This window comes from Homo sapiens, chromosome 11 (genome assembly GCF_000001405.40).
Source record: "Homo sapiens chromosome 11, GRCh38.p14 Primary Assembly".
In the NCBI taxonomy this organism is placed as follows: Eukaryota; Metazoa; Chordata; class Mammalia; order Primates; family Hominidae; genus Homo; species Homo sapiens.
In genome coordinates, this window is record NC_000011.10 from 67,895,121 (window position 1) to 67,908,098 (window position 12,978).

Here is a 12,978-nt window from a genome sequence, read left to right on the forward strand (position 1 = left end):
CAATTTTTTTTTTTTTTTTTTGAGGCAGAGTCTCACTCTCTTGCCCAGGCTGGAGTGCAGTGGCATGATCATGGATCACTGCAACTTATGCCTCCTGGGTTCAAGTGATTTTCGTGCCTCAGCCTCCCAAAATGCTGTGACTACAGACACCCACCACTGCGCCTGGCTAAGTTTTGTATTTTTAATAGAGATAGGGTTTCACCATGTTGGCCTGGCTGGTCTGGAACTCCTGACCTCAGGTGACCCACCTGCCTCGGCCTCCCAAAGTGCTGAGATGATAGGCGGGAGCTGCCACACCCATCCTTGAGTATGATTTTTGATTGGGAAGGTCAGAGTTAGGGTTTTAGTCTGAGGACAGTATGATGTGAAGGTGAAAAGCAGAGCTTGGCTGTGAGTTTGCTGGGATGCCTGTGCTGCTTCTACAGTTCTTTGGCTGTGTGATCGTCACCTTTGGCAAGTTCCTTTACGTTTCTATGTGTTGGTTTCCTCATCAATAAAATGGAAAAACTAGTGCTTGCTTCGGCTGCACATATACTAAAATTAGAATGATACAGAGAAGATTAGCATGGCCCCTGCACAAGGATGACACGCAAATTCGTGAAGCGTTCCATATTTTTAGTCAGTGTGGTGATTCCTCAGGGATCTAGAACTGGAAATACCATTTGACCCAGCCATCCCATTACTGGATATATACCCAAAGGACTCTAAATCATGCTGCTATAAAGACACATGCACGCGTATGTTTATTGCGGCATTATTCACAATAGCAAAGACTTGGAACCAACCCAAATGTCCAACAATGATAGACTGGATTAAGAAAATGTGGCACATATACACCATGGAATACTATGCAGCCATAAAAAATGATGAGTTCATGTCCTTTGTAGGGACATGGATGAAATTGGAAATCATCATTCTCAGTAAACTATCGCAAGAACAAAAAACCAAACACCGCATATTCTCACTCATAGGTGGGAATTGAACAATGAGATCACATGGACACAGGAAGGGGAATATCACACTCTGGGGACTGTTGTGGGGTGGGGGTAGCGGGGAGGGAGAACATCGGGAGATATACCTAATGCTAGATGACGAGTTAGTAGGTGCAGCGCACCAGCATGGCACATGTATACATATGTAACTAACCTGCACAATGTGCACATGTACCCTAAAACTTAAAGTATAATAAAAAAAAAGAAAGAAAGAATAAAAATAAATAAATAAAAAAATAAAATGGAAAAACTAATCATAATCATAATATCTATTGGTGTTGGGATAGCCCAGTGGTTGACACATAAGGACTCAAAAATATATATATATTTTTTGAAACAGAGTCTTGCTCTGTTGCCAGGCTGGAGTGCAGTGGTGCAATCTCAGCTCACTGCAAACTCTGCCTCCTGGGTTCAAGCGATTCTCCTGCCTCAGCCTCCTGAGTAGCTGGGATTACAGATGCCTGCCACCACTCCCAGCTAATTTTTGTATTTTTAGTAGAGATGGGGTTTCACCATGTTGTCCAGGATGCTCTCGATCTCTTGACCTCATGATCCGCCCACCTCAGCCTCCCAAAGTGTTGGGATTACAGGCATGAACCACAGTGCCCGGCTCAAAAATACTATTATTAATTTTGGGGGGTAGTTACTATATTTTGTGAAAATCAGAGTTCAGTACCTTGTAACACTGGGTTGGGATCTATCCCTGAAGGAACAGGCTTCTAAAGAGGAAGGCATGGAGAGAGGGGCAAATTTTCAGTGGATGTTGTAATGACTTTAGGTATATGGACCTGGGGCTGAGTTCTAGCTGGGGCCACCAGGTGGCAAGGTGGACTTTGCTAAATTCTGTCACTTTCCTGGGCCTCAGACTCACTTGTTACAAATGGGGTTAAAGCATCCCTCTTTCAGGGCTAAGATAAAGATGATTAAGTAAGAGGGAATGAAAGTAACTTCCATCAACGGTCAAAAGTATTCATTTAATTTTTCTTTTTTTTTTTTGAGATGGAGTCTTTCTCTGTTGCCCAGATTGGAGTGCAGTGGCATGGTCCCGGGTCACTGCAACCTCCACCTCCTGGGTTCAAGTGATTCTTCTGCCTCAGACTCCTGAGTAGCTGGGACTTCAGGTGCATGTCACCACGCCTGGTTAATTTTTATATTTTTAGTAGAGACGGGGTTTCACCATGTTGGCCAGGATGGTCTCCATCTCTTGACCTTGTGATCCACCCACCTTAGCCTCCCAAAGTGTTGGGATTACAGGCATGAGCCATCACATCCGGCCCATTTAACTTCTATATTACTTTCCTGTTGGTGGATTTACCAGTGCAAAATGAGCAGCTTAAAACTCCACCCAGTTATTATCTGTTTTCATGAGCCAAGGGTCTGGGCAGGGTTTAACTGGGTCTTCTATTCAGGGTCACAATATGGCAACCAGAGTGTCAGTTGGAGCTGGGGTCTCATCGGATGCTCAGAGTCTTCTTCCAAGCTTATTCAGTCTGTGAACTGAATTCAATTACTTACAATTGTTGAATGAAGGTCCTCAACTCCTAGAGCTGCCACCTCCAAAGACAGCTCACAGCATGGCCATTTGTGTCTCCTTGGAGGCTAAGGGTTCAATCTCTGAAACTTCACCTTTAAAAGATTCACCTGATTAGGTCTGGCCCACCTGAGATCATCCTGCTTTGGATGAACTCAAAGTCAGCTGAGCAAATGTGCTTAACAAAGCAAGTGTGACCATAATCACATTTGCAAAATTCCTTCCTCTTGGCCAAATCACAAGCTCTGCACACACTCAAGAAGAGGAGATGATACAGGGAGCAGATATAAGGGAGTGGGTCTCTTAGGGGCTGTCCTAGAACTCTGCCCATTACAACTTCCTTTCTCGAGGAATAGCAGGCCTGGGGAGAGATGATCACAGATGAGCGCAGCCCACAGGTGGTGAGTGCCTGGTGCTGGGTTAGGATGCAGGAGGCTGTGAAGCAAGTATGAAAAGCCTTCTCTGGGCTGGGTGCAGTGGCTCACGCCTGTAATCGCAGCACTTTGGGAGGCCGAGGTGGGTGGATCACGAGGTCAAGAGATCGAGACTATCCTGGCCAACCAACATGGTGAAACCCCGTCTCTACTAAAAATAAAAAATTAGCTGGGCATGGTGGTGCATGTCTCTAACAACCAAGCTCCCCAAGTGAGCAATTCCTGTCCTTTTTAAGAGCTCACAACTCTAAGGGTGTCCACATGAGAGGGTCTTGATCTATTGACCAAGCAGGGAGTACGTGACTGGGGGCTGCATTCAGCAAACCCCATCTCTACTAAAAATACCAAAATTCAGCAAAGTTTCAGGATACAAAATCAATGTGCAAAAATCACAAGCATTCTTATACACCAATAACAGACAAACAGCCAAATCATGAGTGAACTCCCATTCGCAATTGCTTCAAAGAGAATAAAATACTGAGGAATCTAACTTACAAGGGACATGAAGGACCTCTTCAAGGAGAACTACAAACAACCGCTCAAAGAAATAAAAGAGGATACAAACAAATGGAAGAATATTCCATGCTCATGGCTAGGAGGAATCAATATCATGAAAATGGACATACTGCCCAAGGTAATTTATAGATTCAATGCCATCCCCAACAAGTTACCAATGACTTTCTTCACAGAATTGGAAAAAACTACTTTACAGTTCATATGGAACCAAAAAAGAGCCCACATTTCCAAGTCAATCCTAAGCCAAAAGAACAAAGCTAGAGGCATCACACTACCTGACTTCAAACTACAAGGCTACAGTAACCAAAACAGCATGGTACTGGTACAAAAACAGAGATACAGACTAATGGAACAGAACAGAGCCCTCAGAAATAATGCCACACATCTACAACTATCTGATCTTTGACAAACCTGACAAAAACAAGAAATGGGGAAAAGATTCCCTATTTAATAAATGGTGCTGGGAAAACTGGCTAGCCATATGGAGAAAGCTGAAATTGGATCCCTTCCTTACACCTTATACAAAAATTAATTCAAGATGGATTAAAGACTTAAATGTTAGACCTAAAACCATAAAAACCCTAGAAGAAAACCTCAGCAATGCCATTCAGGACATAGGCATGGGCAAGGACTTCATGTCTAAAACACCAAAAGCAATGGCAACAAAAGCCAAAGTTGAAAAATGGGATCTAATTAAACTAAAGAGCTTCTGCACAGCAAAAGAAACTACCATCAGAGTGAACAGGTAACCTACAGAATGGGAGAAAATTTTTGCAATCTAGTCATCTGACAAAGGGACCTATGACTTTCTTATAACCAAGAGAATATGGCAGAGGTGATGGGATGTAGTGATTATGTTAGATAGGGTGTTAAGTTGTCTTGCTAGGAGGCTGTCTGTCTTGCTGGCTTTGAGGATGTGAGCTGCCATGTCATGAGTGGCCAGATGGAGAGGCCCATGTGGCAAGAAGCTGAGGGCAGCAAGAAACTGGGGCGCTGAGTCCAGCAGCCTGCAAGGAACTGAATGCTGCCAACAACCAGATGAGCCTGGAAGCAGACCAATCACCAGTCAAGCCTCCAGATGAGAACTGAGCACTGGCTGACACTATGGCTGCAGCCTTGCACTGAACCCAGCTGAGTCACGCCTGGATTCCTGACCCACAGAAACCATGCAGTGATAACTGTCTGCTGTCTCAAGCCACAAAGTTTGCAGTAATATTGTTGCACAGCAATAGATAACTAATATAAAAACTGTCCTATATCATGTACATTACTGAGCGAAATGTAGAACCTGGATTTGAGCTCTGATTTCAGAGGTGTGGTCTCAGTCTCCCCAGGGAGACCTGTCCTGGGAGACAGTTATGCCAGGCTGTGATGCTGTGATGATTGTTCTCTTCCTACCCAGAAGCTTTCAATAGGCATGTCAAGCATGTGACCCCAGCTATATACCAAATGTATTTCTGACAAATGCCAGGACATCTTGAGCTTTCTTGTTTTACTGAGAGCTCCATAAAGGAAGGACTATCTTTGTCTTTTTTTTTTTTTTAAGAGTCTCACTGTCACCCAAGCTGGAGTGCAATGGTGCGATCTCGGCTCACTGCAGTCTCTGCCTCCTGGGCTCAAGGGATTCTCCAGCCTCAGCCTCCTGAGTAGCTGGGATCAAAGGTGTACATCACCACACCCAGCTAATTTCATATTTTTGGTAGAGATGGGGTTTCGTCATGTTGGCCAGACAGATCTTGAACTCCTGGCCTCAAGTGATTCACTTACCTCGGCATCCCAAAGTGCTGGGATTACAGGCATGAGCCACTGCACCAGGCCTGTCTTATTTATGTTATGTCTATGTGAAACAGCCCAATGGTCAGCACACAAAGGGGTCCAAATGTGAAAGGAAAGAGCAAACACAGGGGAAACATAGGGGTGTTCAGAAATAGTTCCCAGGTTACTGCCTGTTTCAATATGTACAGTCCTCGGCCCCACCCACAAGATTCTGACTTGGCAGGTGAGAGTTGGAGATGGGGGAGCTACCTGGTTACGAGGGATCCCAGTTCATTTTGAGGCAGCTGGTTGTTAGACTGCATTGTAAAAATTACCCCCCAAAGATTGGAAAGGATAATTTATGTATTTTTAATAGAGATAGGGTTTCACCATGTTGGCCAGGCAGATCTCCTACTCTCAGCCTCAGGTGATCCACCCGCTTTGGCCTCCCAAAGTGCTGGGATTACAGGCATGAGCCATTGCTCCTAGCAGTATTTTTTTAATGAGGCAAAATTCACATAACACGTAAGTCCCTGTATGAAACCATACACTTCAGTATCATTAAATACATTCACAATGTTAAGCAATCATCATCTCTGTCTAGTTCCAAAACATTTTCATTAACACCCCCCGCCCCCCCAAAAAATAACCCTGTATCCAATCAAGCACTCTCCATCCCCCCCCCCTTTCCCCCAGTTCCTGGCAACCACTTACCTGCTTTCTGCCTCTACAGATTTGCCTATTCTGGACCTTTCACATAAATGGAATCATGTAATATATATAATAACCAAAAGGTAGCAACAACCAAGCTGACCATTTGGCTGATGAATGAATAAACAAAATGTGCTGTATCCATACAGTGGAAGTATTGGTGCCTACTGCATGTGGATGGACCTTGGAAACAACATGCTGAGTGAGAGAGAGCCTTGGTATCGTCTCATCTCCCCAGGAGATTCCAAGGTGCAGCCAAGGTTGAGACCCACTGACAAGCAATGGATATGGTTGGGTGCAGATGAAATAAGGCAGCCAGGGGCAGGAGGGATGTCTCATTGAAGATGACTGTTTGTGGATGCCTAGCAGGGGTGGAGATGAGGGATGATAACAGCAACCCCAATCTCAACACAGCGTGACCGATTTTATCTTCAGCCGGCTGATACGCCTCATGGGATTTGGACACAGGACATCTCTGCCTCCCAGGTTCAAGCAAACTCCTGCCTCAGCCTCCTAAGTAGCTGGGATTACAGGCATGTACCACCACACCTAGCTAATTTTTGTATTTTTAGTAGAAACGAGGCCTCATCATGTTGCCCAGGTTGGTCTCAAACTTCTGGCCTCACATGATCCACCCACCTCAGCCTCCCAAAGTACTGGTATTGCAGGCATGAACCACAGTGGCAGCCTCCAAATTCTATTTGAAGTTTGACTTTCCACCTCCAGAAAATCCAAACCTTTGCCCTAGTCACAGTGGGACACCCCGGAGTTAATTTGAGAGAAATGTGCTTTTAAAAACAACTCCAGGCCAGGCGCAGTGGCTCACGCCTATAATCTTAGCACTTTGGGAGGCCGAGGCAGACGGATCACGAGGTCAGGAGATCAAGACCATCCTGGCTAACACGGTGAAACCCCGTCTCTACTAAAAATACAAAAAATTAGCCAGGTGTGGTGGCACATGCCTGTAAGCCCAGCTACTCGGGAGGCTGAGGCAGGAGAATCGCGTGAACCAGGGAGTCAGAGGTTGCAGTGAGTTGAGATCGCACCACTGCACTCCAGCCTGGTGACAGAGAGAGATTCTGTCTCAAAATAAATAAATAAATACATAAAACCCTCCGATATGAACACCAAACTAGAATCACTGCATTGACTTCCCTCCACCAATCAGGAGGGGTGATGGTGATGGTGCATGAGTGCCTATTTGCATTGAGTCTTAATGGAAAATAAGATTGTGTCACTCAAAGGAAAAACAAATCACAGCCCAGACTGGAGCTGTGGATGAATAACATGGCTGAGTGTTGGTACAGGCTTTCCACAGCAATATTAAAACTGAAAAAATCAGCAATGAAGCTCCCAGCCACATTTCTGCCAAATGATTTGGGGGAAAACAACAGAGGCACTCCTCAACTTTTCCTTCGCTGCACAAAGTGGGTTTGGCTGGAAATGCCAAATGTGCTTGTTGCTGGGATCTTTCAAATGAAAGCAAGCTGGGAGTCAATCTCCTGCAGCCGCAGGCCAGAAATGGGTTGAGACCAAACTATTATAGTCACACTGGTGCACATGTAAACAGATTTAACTCCCTCCCAGCAATCCAGATTAATTTAATATGCTTTCTTAATGGCATTCTGCATTGCTCATTAAAGCAAATGAACCTCCATCCCTCTGTGATAAATTAGGTCAAAAAACACTCATATATTTAGGGCATAGGGAAGGAGGAGTTGTTGGCTGTTAAAAAAAAAAAAAAGTCCTGCAAATGGCCTTTCAAAGTCTAGACATCTTCATCATCAACACAAACATTCCTCTTCACAAAAGGACCTCAAGTAACCTTAGGCTGGAGGGCCCACCTGCGTATGTTTTTCTTCTCATTCTTTCTTACCTTCCCTCCAGCCCACACAACTCACATTCAGTGGCCAAGTCACGTGGGTTTTACCTCCTAAATCTTTCTCAGATCCTTCACTGCTCAGCCACTCTCCTGACACCACCATAAACCAAGCCACCATCACCTCCAGCTGTTTGACTGCAAATGCCTCCAGACTGGCCTCTGCTTTTCCCTGGTCCTGTGACAATCTGCACTCCTCACAGGGACCAAAGCAATCACTTCAGAAGGTGCATCCAAACAGATCACTCAAATTTCAATGGCTCCCTCTGCTGTGTGGGTTAACAATGATAAAAGCTCGGCCGGGCGCGGGGGCTCACGCCTGTAATCCCAGCACTTTGGGAGGCCGAGGAGGTCGGATCACGACGTTAGGAGATCCAGACCATTCTCCCTAACACGGTGAAACCCCGTCTCTACTAAAAATACAAAAAAATTAGCCGCGCGTGGTGGCGGGCGCCGGTAGTCCCAGCTACTCCGGAGGCTAAGGCAGGAGAATGGCGTGAACCCGGGAGGTGGAGCTTGCAGTGAGCCCAGATCGCGCCACTGCACTCCGGCCTGGGCGACAGAATGAGATTCCATCTCGAAAAAAAAAAAAAAAACAATGATAAAAGGTCACCTTTTCTGAGCACACACTATCTCAGTCCATCCCTACATCAGCCCTTTATTTCACCAGTGGGGAAGCTGGGACAGAGAGTAGTTACGTGGGATGCTCAAGGTGGGATCACTCGTGTGAAGTTTCCACACCCTAACGTGAGACCCTTCATGACCTAGCCCCTCTCTTTCTCCAGCCTCATTTCCTGATTCTCTCGCTTGCCCTGCAGGCTTCAGCCACACAAACTTCTTGAAAGTCCCTTAAATCTGGCTGAGCGCAGTGGCTCGCTCCTGTAATCCCAGCACTTTGGGAAGCTGAGGCGGGTGGATCACCTGAGATCAGGAGTTCGAGACCAGCCTGGTCAACATGGTGGAACCCCATCTCTACTAAATATCCCAAAATTAGCACGTGTGGTGGACGGCACCTGTAATCCTAGCTACTTCGGGAGACTGAGGCAGGAAAATCGCTTGAACTCGGGAGGCAGAGGTTGCAGTGAGCCAGGATCGCACCACTCCACCCAAGCCTGGGCGTCAAGAGTGAAAGTCCGTCTCAAAAAAAACAGTCCCTTAAATCTGCTCTATGCCTATCAACCTCAGGGACTTCACTATACTGTTCCTCACCCTGAAATGCTGTTCCTCATTTCTCCACATAGTGAACTCATCCCACCCCTAGGCCTCTCCTTAAGTGTCATCTCTTCAAGGAAGATTTTACTTTTTTAATATAACTATTAAAATATAATTCGGTACCATATCATTTGCCCATTTAAAGTAAACAAATCAATGGTTTCAGTGCATTCACAGAGCTCGGCAACCACCACCATGATCAATTTTAAAACATTTTCATCACCCCAAAAGAAACCCTGTATCCATGAGCAGGTACCTGCCATTTCCTCCTCCCACTAAGCCCTGACAATCTACTTTTTTTGAGATAGAGTCTGTGTCACAGGCTGGAGTGCAGTGGCACAATCTCGGCTCACTGCAACCTCTGCCTCCTGGGTTAAAGCAATTCTCCTGCCTCCCGAGTAGCTGGGATTACAAGGATATGCCACCACGCCCATCTAATTTTGTATTTTTAGTAGAGACAGGGTTTCTGTCTTCATAGATTTGCGTGTTCTGGACATTTTATATAAATGAAATCTTATAATATGTGACCTTTTGTGACTGGTTTCTTCCACTTGGCATAATATTCTCATGGTTCATCCGTGTTGTAGCACGTGTTAGTACTTCATTCCTTTTGATGACTGAATAATATTCCATTGCATAGTCAAACCATGTTCTATTTCTCCACTCATCAGTAGACAAGCATTTGTGTTGTTTTCACTTTGGCGCTATTATGAATAATGCTGCTATGAACATTTGTGTACAAGTTTCTGCACGGACATATATTTTCATTTCTTTCATAAACTGGAGTGGAAGTGGTGGGTCATAGAACTCTGTGTTTAAGCTTTTGAAGAAGTGCCAGACTGTGTAAGAAAGAAAGCCTTTCTTCACCCTGTGAGACTGAGCTCCCTCTCTCCATTTATACGTTCTCTTTATGCCCTTTGCTTCTCTTTCAGAGCAATTCACGTTGACCTGGGTCACCCTCAACTTAAGGCTCATAACTCCCCTAGATCCTCAGGGTCCACACTAAATGTGATGAAATATGATGGAAGCCACATACTTACTTTTGCATTTTGTAGTAACCACATTTTAAAAAGTAAAACAAAAGAAGTGAAGGTAATTGGAATAATATCACAGATTTAAACAAATCTATCCAAAATACCAGGTCTACAAGTATAAAATATTTTAACATTAACAAAATACTTTGCTTTCTTTTTATATTAAGTCTTCACAATCTAATGTGTATTTGACACTTCTCGCACATCTCAGAATGATGGCAGCACCCCATATGGGGGGCCCTCCCATGATGTCAATGATGGGCCCTCCTCCTCCTGGGATGATGCCAGTGGGACCTGCTCCTGGAATGAGGCCGCCCATGGGAGGCCACGTGCCCATGATGCCTGGGTGCCCAATGATGAGACCTCCTGCCATCTCATGATGGTGCCCAGTCAGCCCAGAATGACTCGACCAGACAGATAAGGATAGGGGGGAGGCCTCACTGCATCAGTGTTGTTTTGTTGTTGTTATTGTTGTGTTTTCTTTGTTTGTAATGTTTTTGTTTTGTTTTTGAGACACAGTCTTCCTCTGCCACCCAGGCTGGAGGGCAGTGGCATGATCTCAGCTCACTGAAACCTCCACCTCCCGGGTTCAAGCGATTCCCCTGCCTCAGCCTCCTGAGTAGCTGGGACTACAGGCGTGCGCACCATGCCCGACTAATTTTTTTTATTTTAGTAGAGACAGGGTTTCACCATGTTGGCCAGGATGGTCTCAATCTCCTGACCTCGTGACCCGCCCGCCTCAGCCTCCCAAAGTGCTGGGATTACAGGTGTGAGCCACTGCGCCCGGCCTATATGAGTTTTATATTTACCTGTTCCCTTCACCAGGAGATCATGCTGCTGTGATGCCGGGTTTTCTTAACAGCATAAGGAAGACTTGCCCCTTGCCCTATCAAAGAGAATAGTTTTGGAGGGCCGAAGTGGGACCAAAAAAGATGCAGTTTTCATTTCTATTGGGAAATGTGAAAAAAAAATTGTCAACTCTTTTAGTTAAAAACAACAACAACAAAAAAGGAAACGAGATGTGGGGCCGCCGCACGCAATATCGTGCATTAAAAGGATGTTCTACTCTGGAGGAAAATATCTTTGCTGATGCCAGACCAACCTAACACAAAGAACTTTTGGTTTTTTAATGTGACTGTGTTTTATTTTACACTGTGTAATTCACTTTAGAAGGGCAAAGTACCTGTCTGGGGAAGACTATTTAATTTCCTGCATTTATTTAGAATATTGGCTAATATTATTCTGAAGGGAAATATCTCTAACAAGTGAGTGCCCCCCACATAGACACAGCTCATGAGCTCACGGGGCAAAGAAATTGAACAGCAGCCTCCTAATAGCTAGCCTTCTTTGTGGTATGGAAATAATTATCAGCATGTAAAAGACTATATATATATTCAACAATTCTGACCCCCTGCAAAATTCAAATCTACAATTGATTTGCTTCCTGGGCTCCTGAAAACAACTTTGTCAAAACTGTTCAGAAATAAAATCAGCCAATCGTTGCCCCTTGGGGATGCAGGACAAAGCAAATCAGCCATGACCAATGTGGAGTCGGCCGTACACAATTACATGCAGACCTGCAGGACATCGAGTCCCTGCTATGGTCCCTCCCCAGTCAGACCCCCATTGCCTGGGCTGCAGCCAGAAGCATTCAGGCACAAGTGCATTCAACAAATACTTATTTAATTGTATTGGTGGTTAGAGGGCTGTTGTTGATTAAGGTACATTAATGGATCCATGTCTCCCTGTATCCAAGACTCTGCCATTTGTCTCTGCAGTTCCTCCCACTGAAGAATCGGAGTATATTTCTCCAGCCCCTAATGTTGGGTTTAGTCATGTGTCTAGCTTTGGCCACTGGAATATTAATCTGTATGACCAAAAACATGGAAAGTATGCATTCATTTGTGCTCACTCACTCCTGCTATCACCCTGAGAACAAGCCCAGGCCAGCCTGCTGCTTCCAGCAGAAGATAAGAGACACCAAGAGCAAAGTAGAGCTTCCCAGACATGCTCATGCTAGATTAACCAACCTCAGCTGACCCATAGATCCATGAAAATAAATGACTGTTGTATTAAGCCACTGAGATTTGGAGTGACTTGTTATGCAGCATTTTGTGACAATAAGTAACTGATACAAGGGTCACCATCCTTTATCTCTGTAGATTTTAACCAATTTTTAATAGCTAGATGGAGATCTTCTAGTTGCCTTTATTTATAATGAATAAGACTGTAGAGCTAGTTTGGCCTGACACTACCAGTTACCTACCCAGAAATTCAGAAATACTTTCTTCTCCAACCCACCCCAACCAACCATTACCATTTTTTTTTTTTTGAAACGGAGTCTTACTCTTTGCCTAGGCTAGAGTACAAGTGGCACAGTCAGAGCTCACTGTACCCTCAAAATCCTGGGCTCCCCTGATCTTCCCCTTCAAACTCCTACGTAGCTAAGACTACAGACATGTGCCACCATGTCTGGCTAATTTTTTTATTCTTTGCAGAGACAGGGTCTCACTATATTGCCCAAGTTGGTTTCAAACTCCTGGCCTCAAGCAGTCCTCCTGCCTCATCCTCCCAAAGTGCTAGGATTATAGGCATGAGCCACCACACCCAGCCTCTTCTTCTTTTTAAATAGAAACCCTATTTTATTCTGACAGCGGGTTGCTTACTTTTTTTTTTTTTTTTGAAAAAATTGGCCCAGCCCCAGGGAATAAATTGTGACTGGTCTAAACAGGGTTGGCAAACTATAGACCAAGGGCCAAATCTGGCCCTCTGACTGTTTGTATAAATTAAGTTTTACTGGAATAAAACCAGGTCCATTCATTTATGCCTTGTCTACATATGCTTTAGACTACGATGGCACCACTGTGTCACTGCAACAGAGGTTATCTAGACCAAAAGCCTAAAATATTACCGT

General features: G+C 44.8%; 1 protein-coding gene and 2 pseudogenes across 1 annotated transcript in view; 2 read left to right on the forward strand and 1 right to left on the reverse strand.

The window, feature by feature from the left end:
• Positions 1 to 12,978, reverse strand: part of LOC112268076 (translation initiation factor IF-2-like) — a 154,152-nt gene that overhangs the window by 83,112 nt on the left and 58,062 nt on the right. The window lies entirely within an intron of this gene.
• Positions 511 to 616, forward strand: RNU6-46P (RNA, U6 small nuclear 46, pseudogene; annotated as a pseudogene).
• SNRPCP12 (small nuclear ribonucleoprotein polypeptide C pseudogene 12) lies at positions 10,277 to 11,057 on the forward strand (annotated as a pseudogene).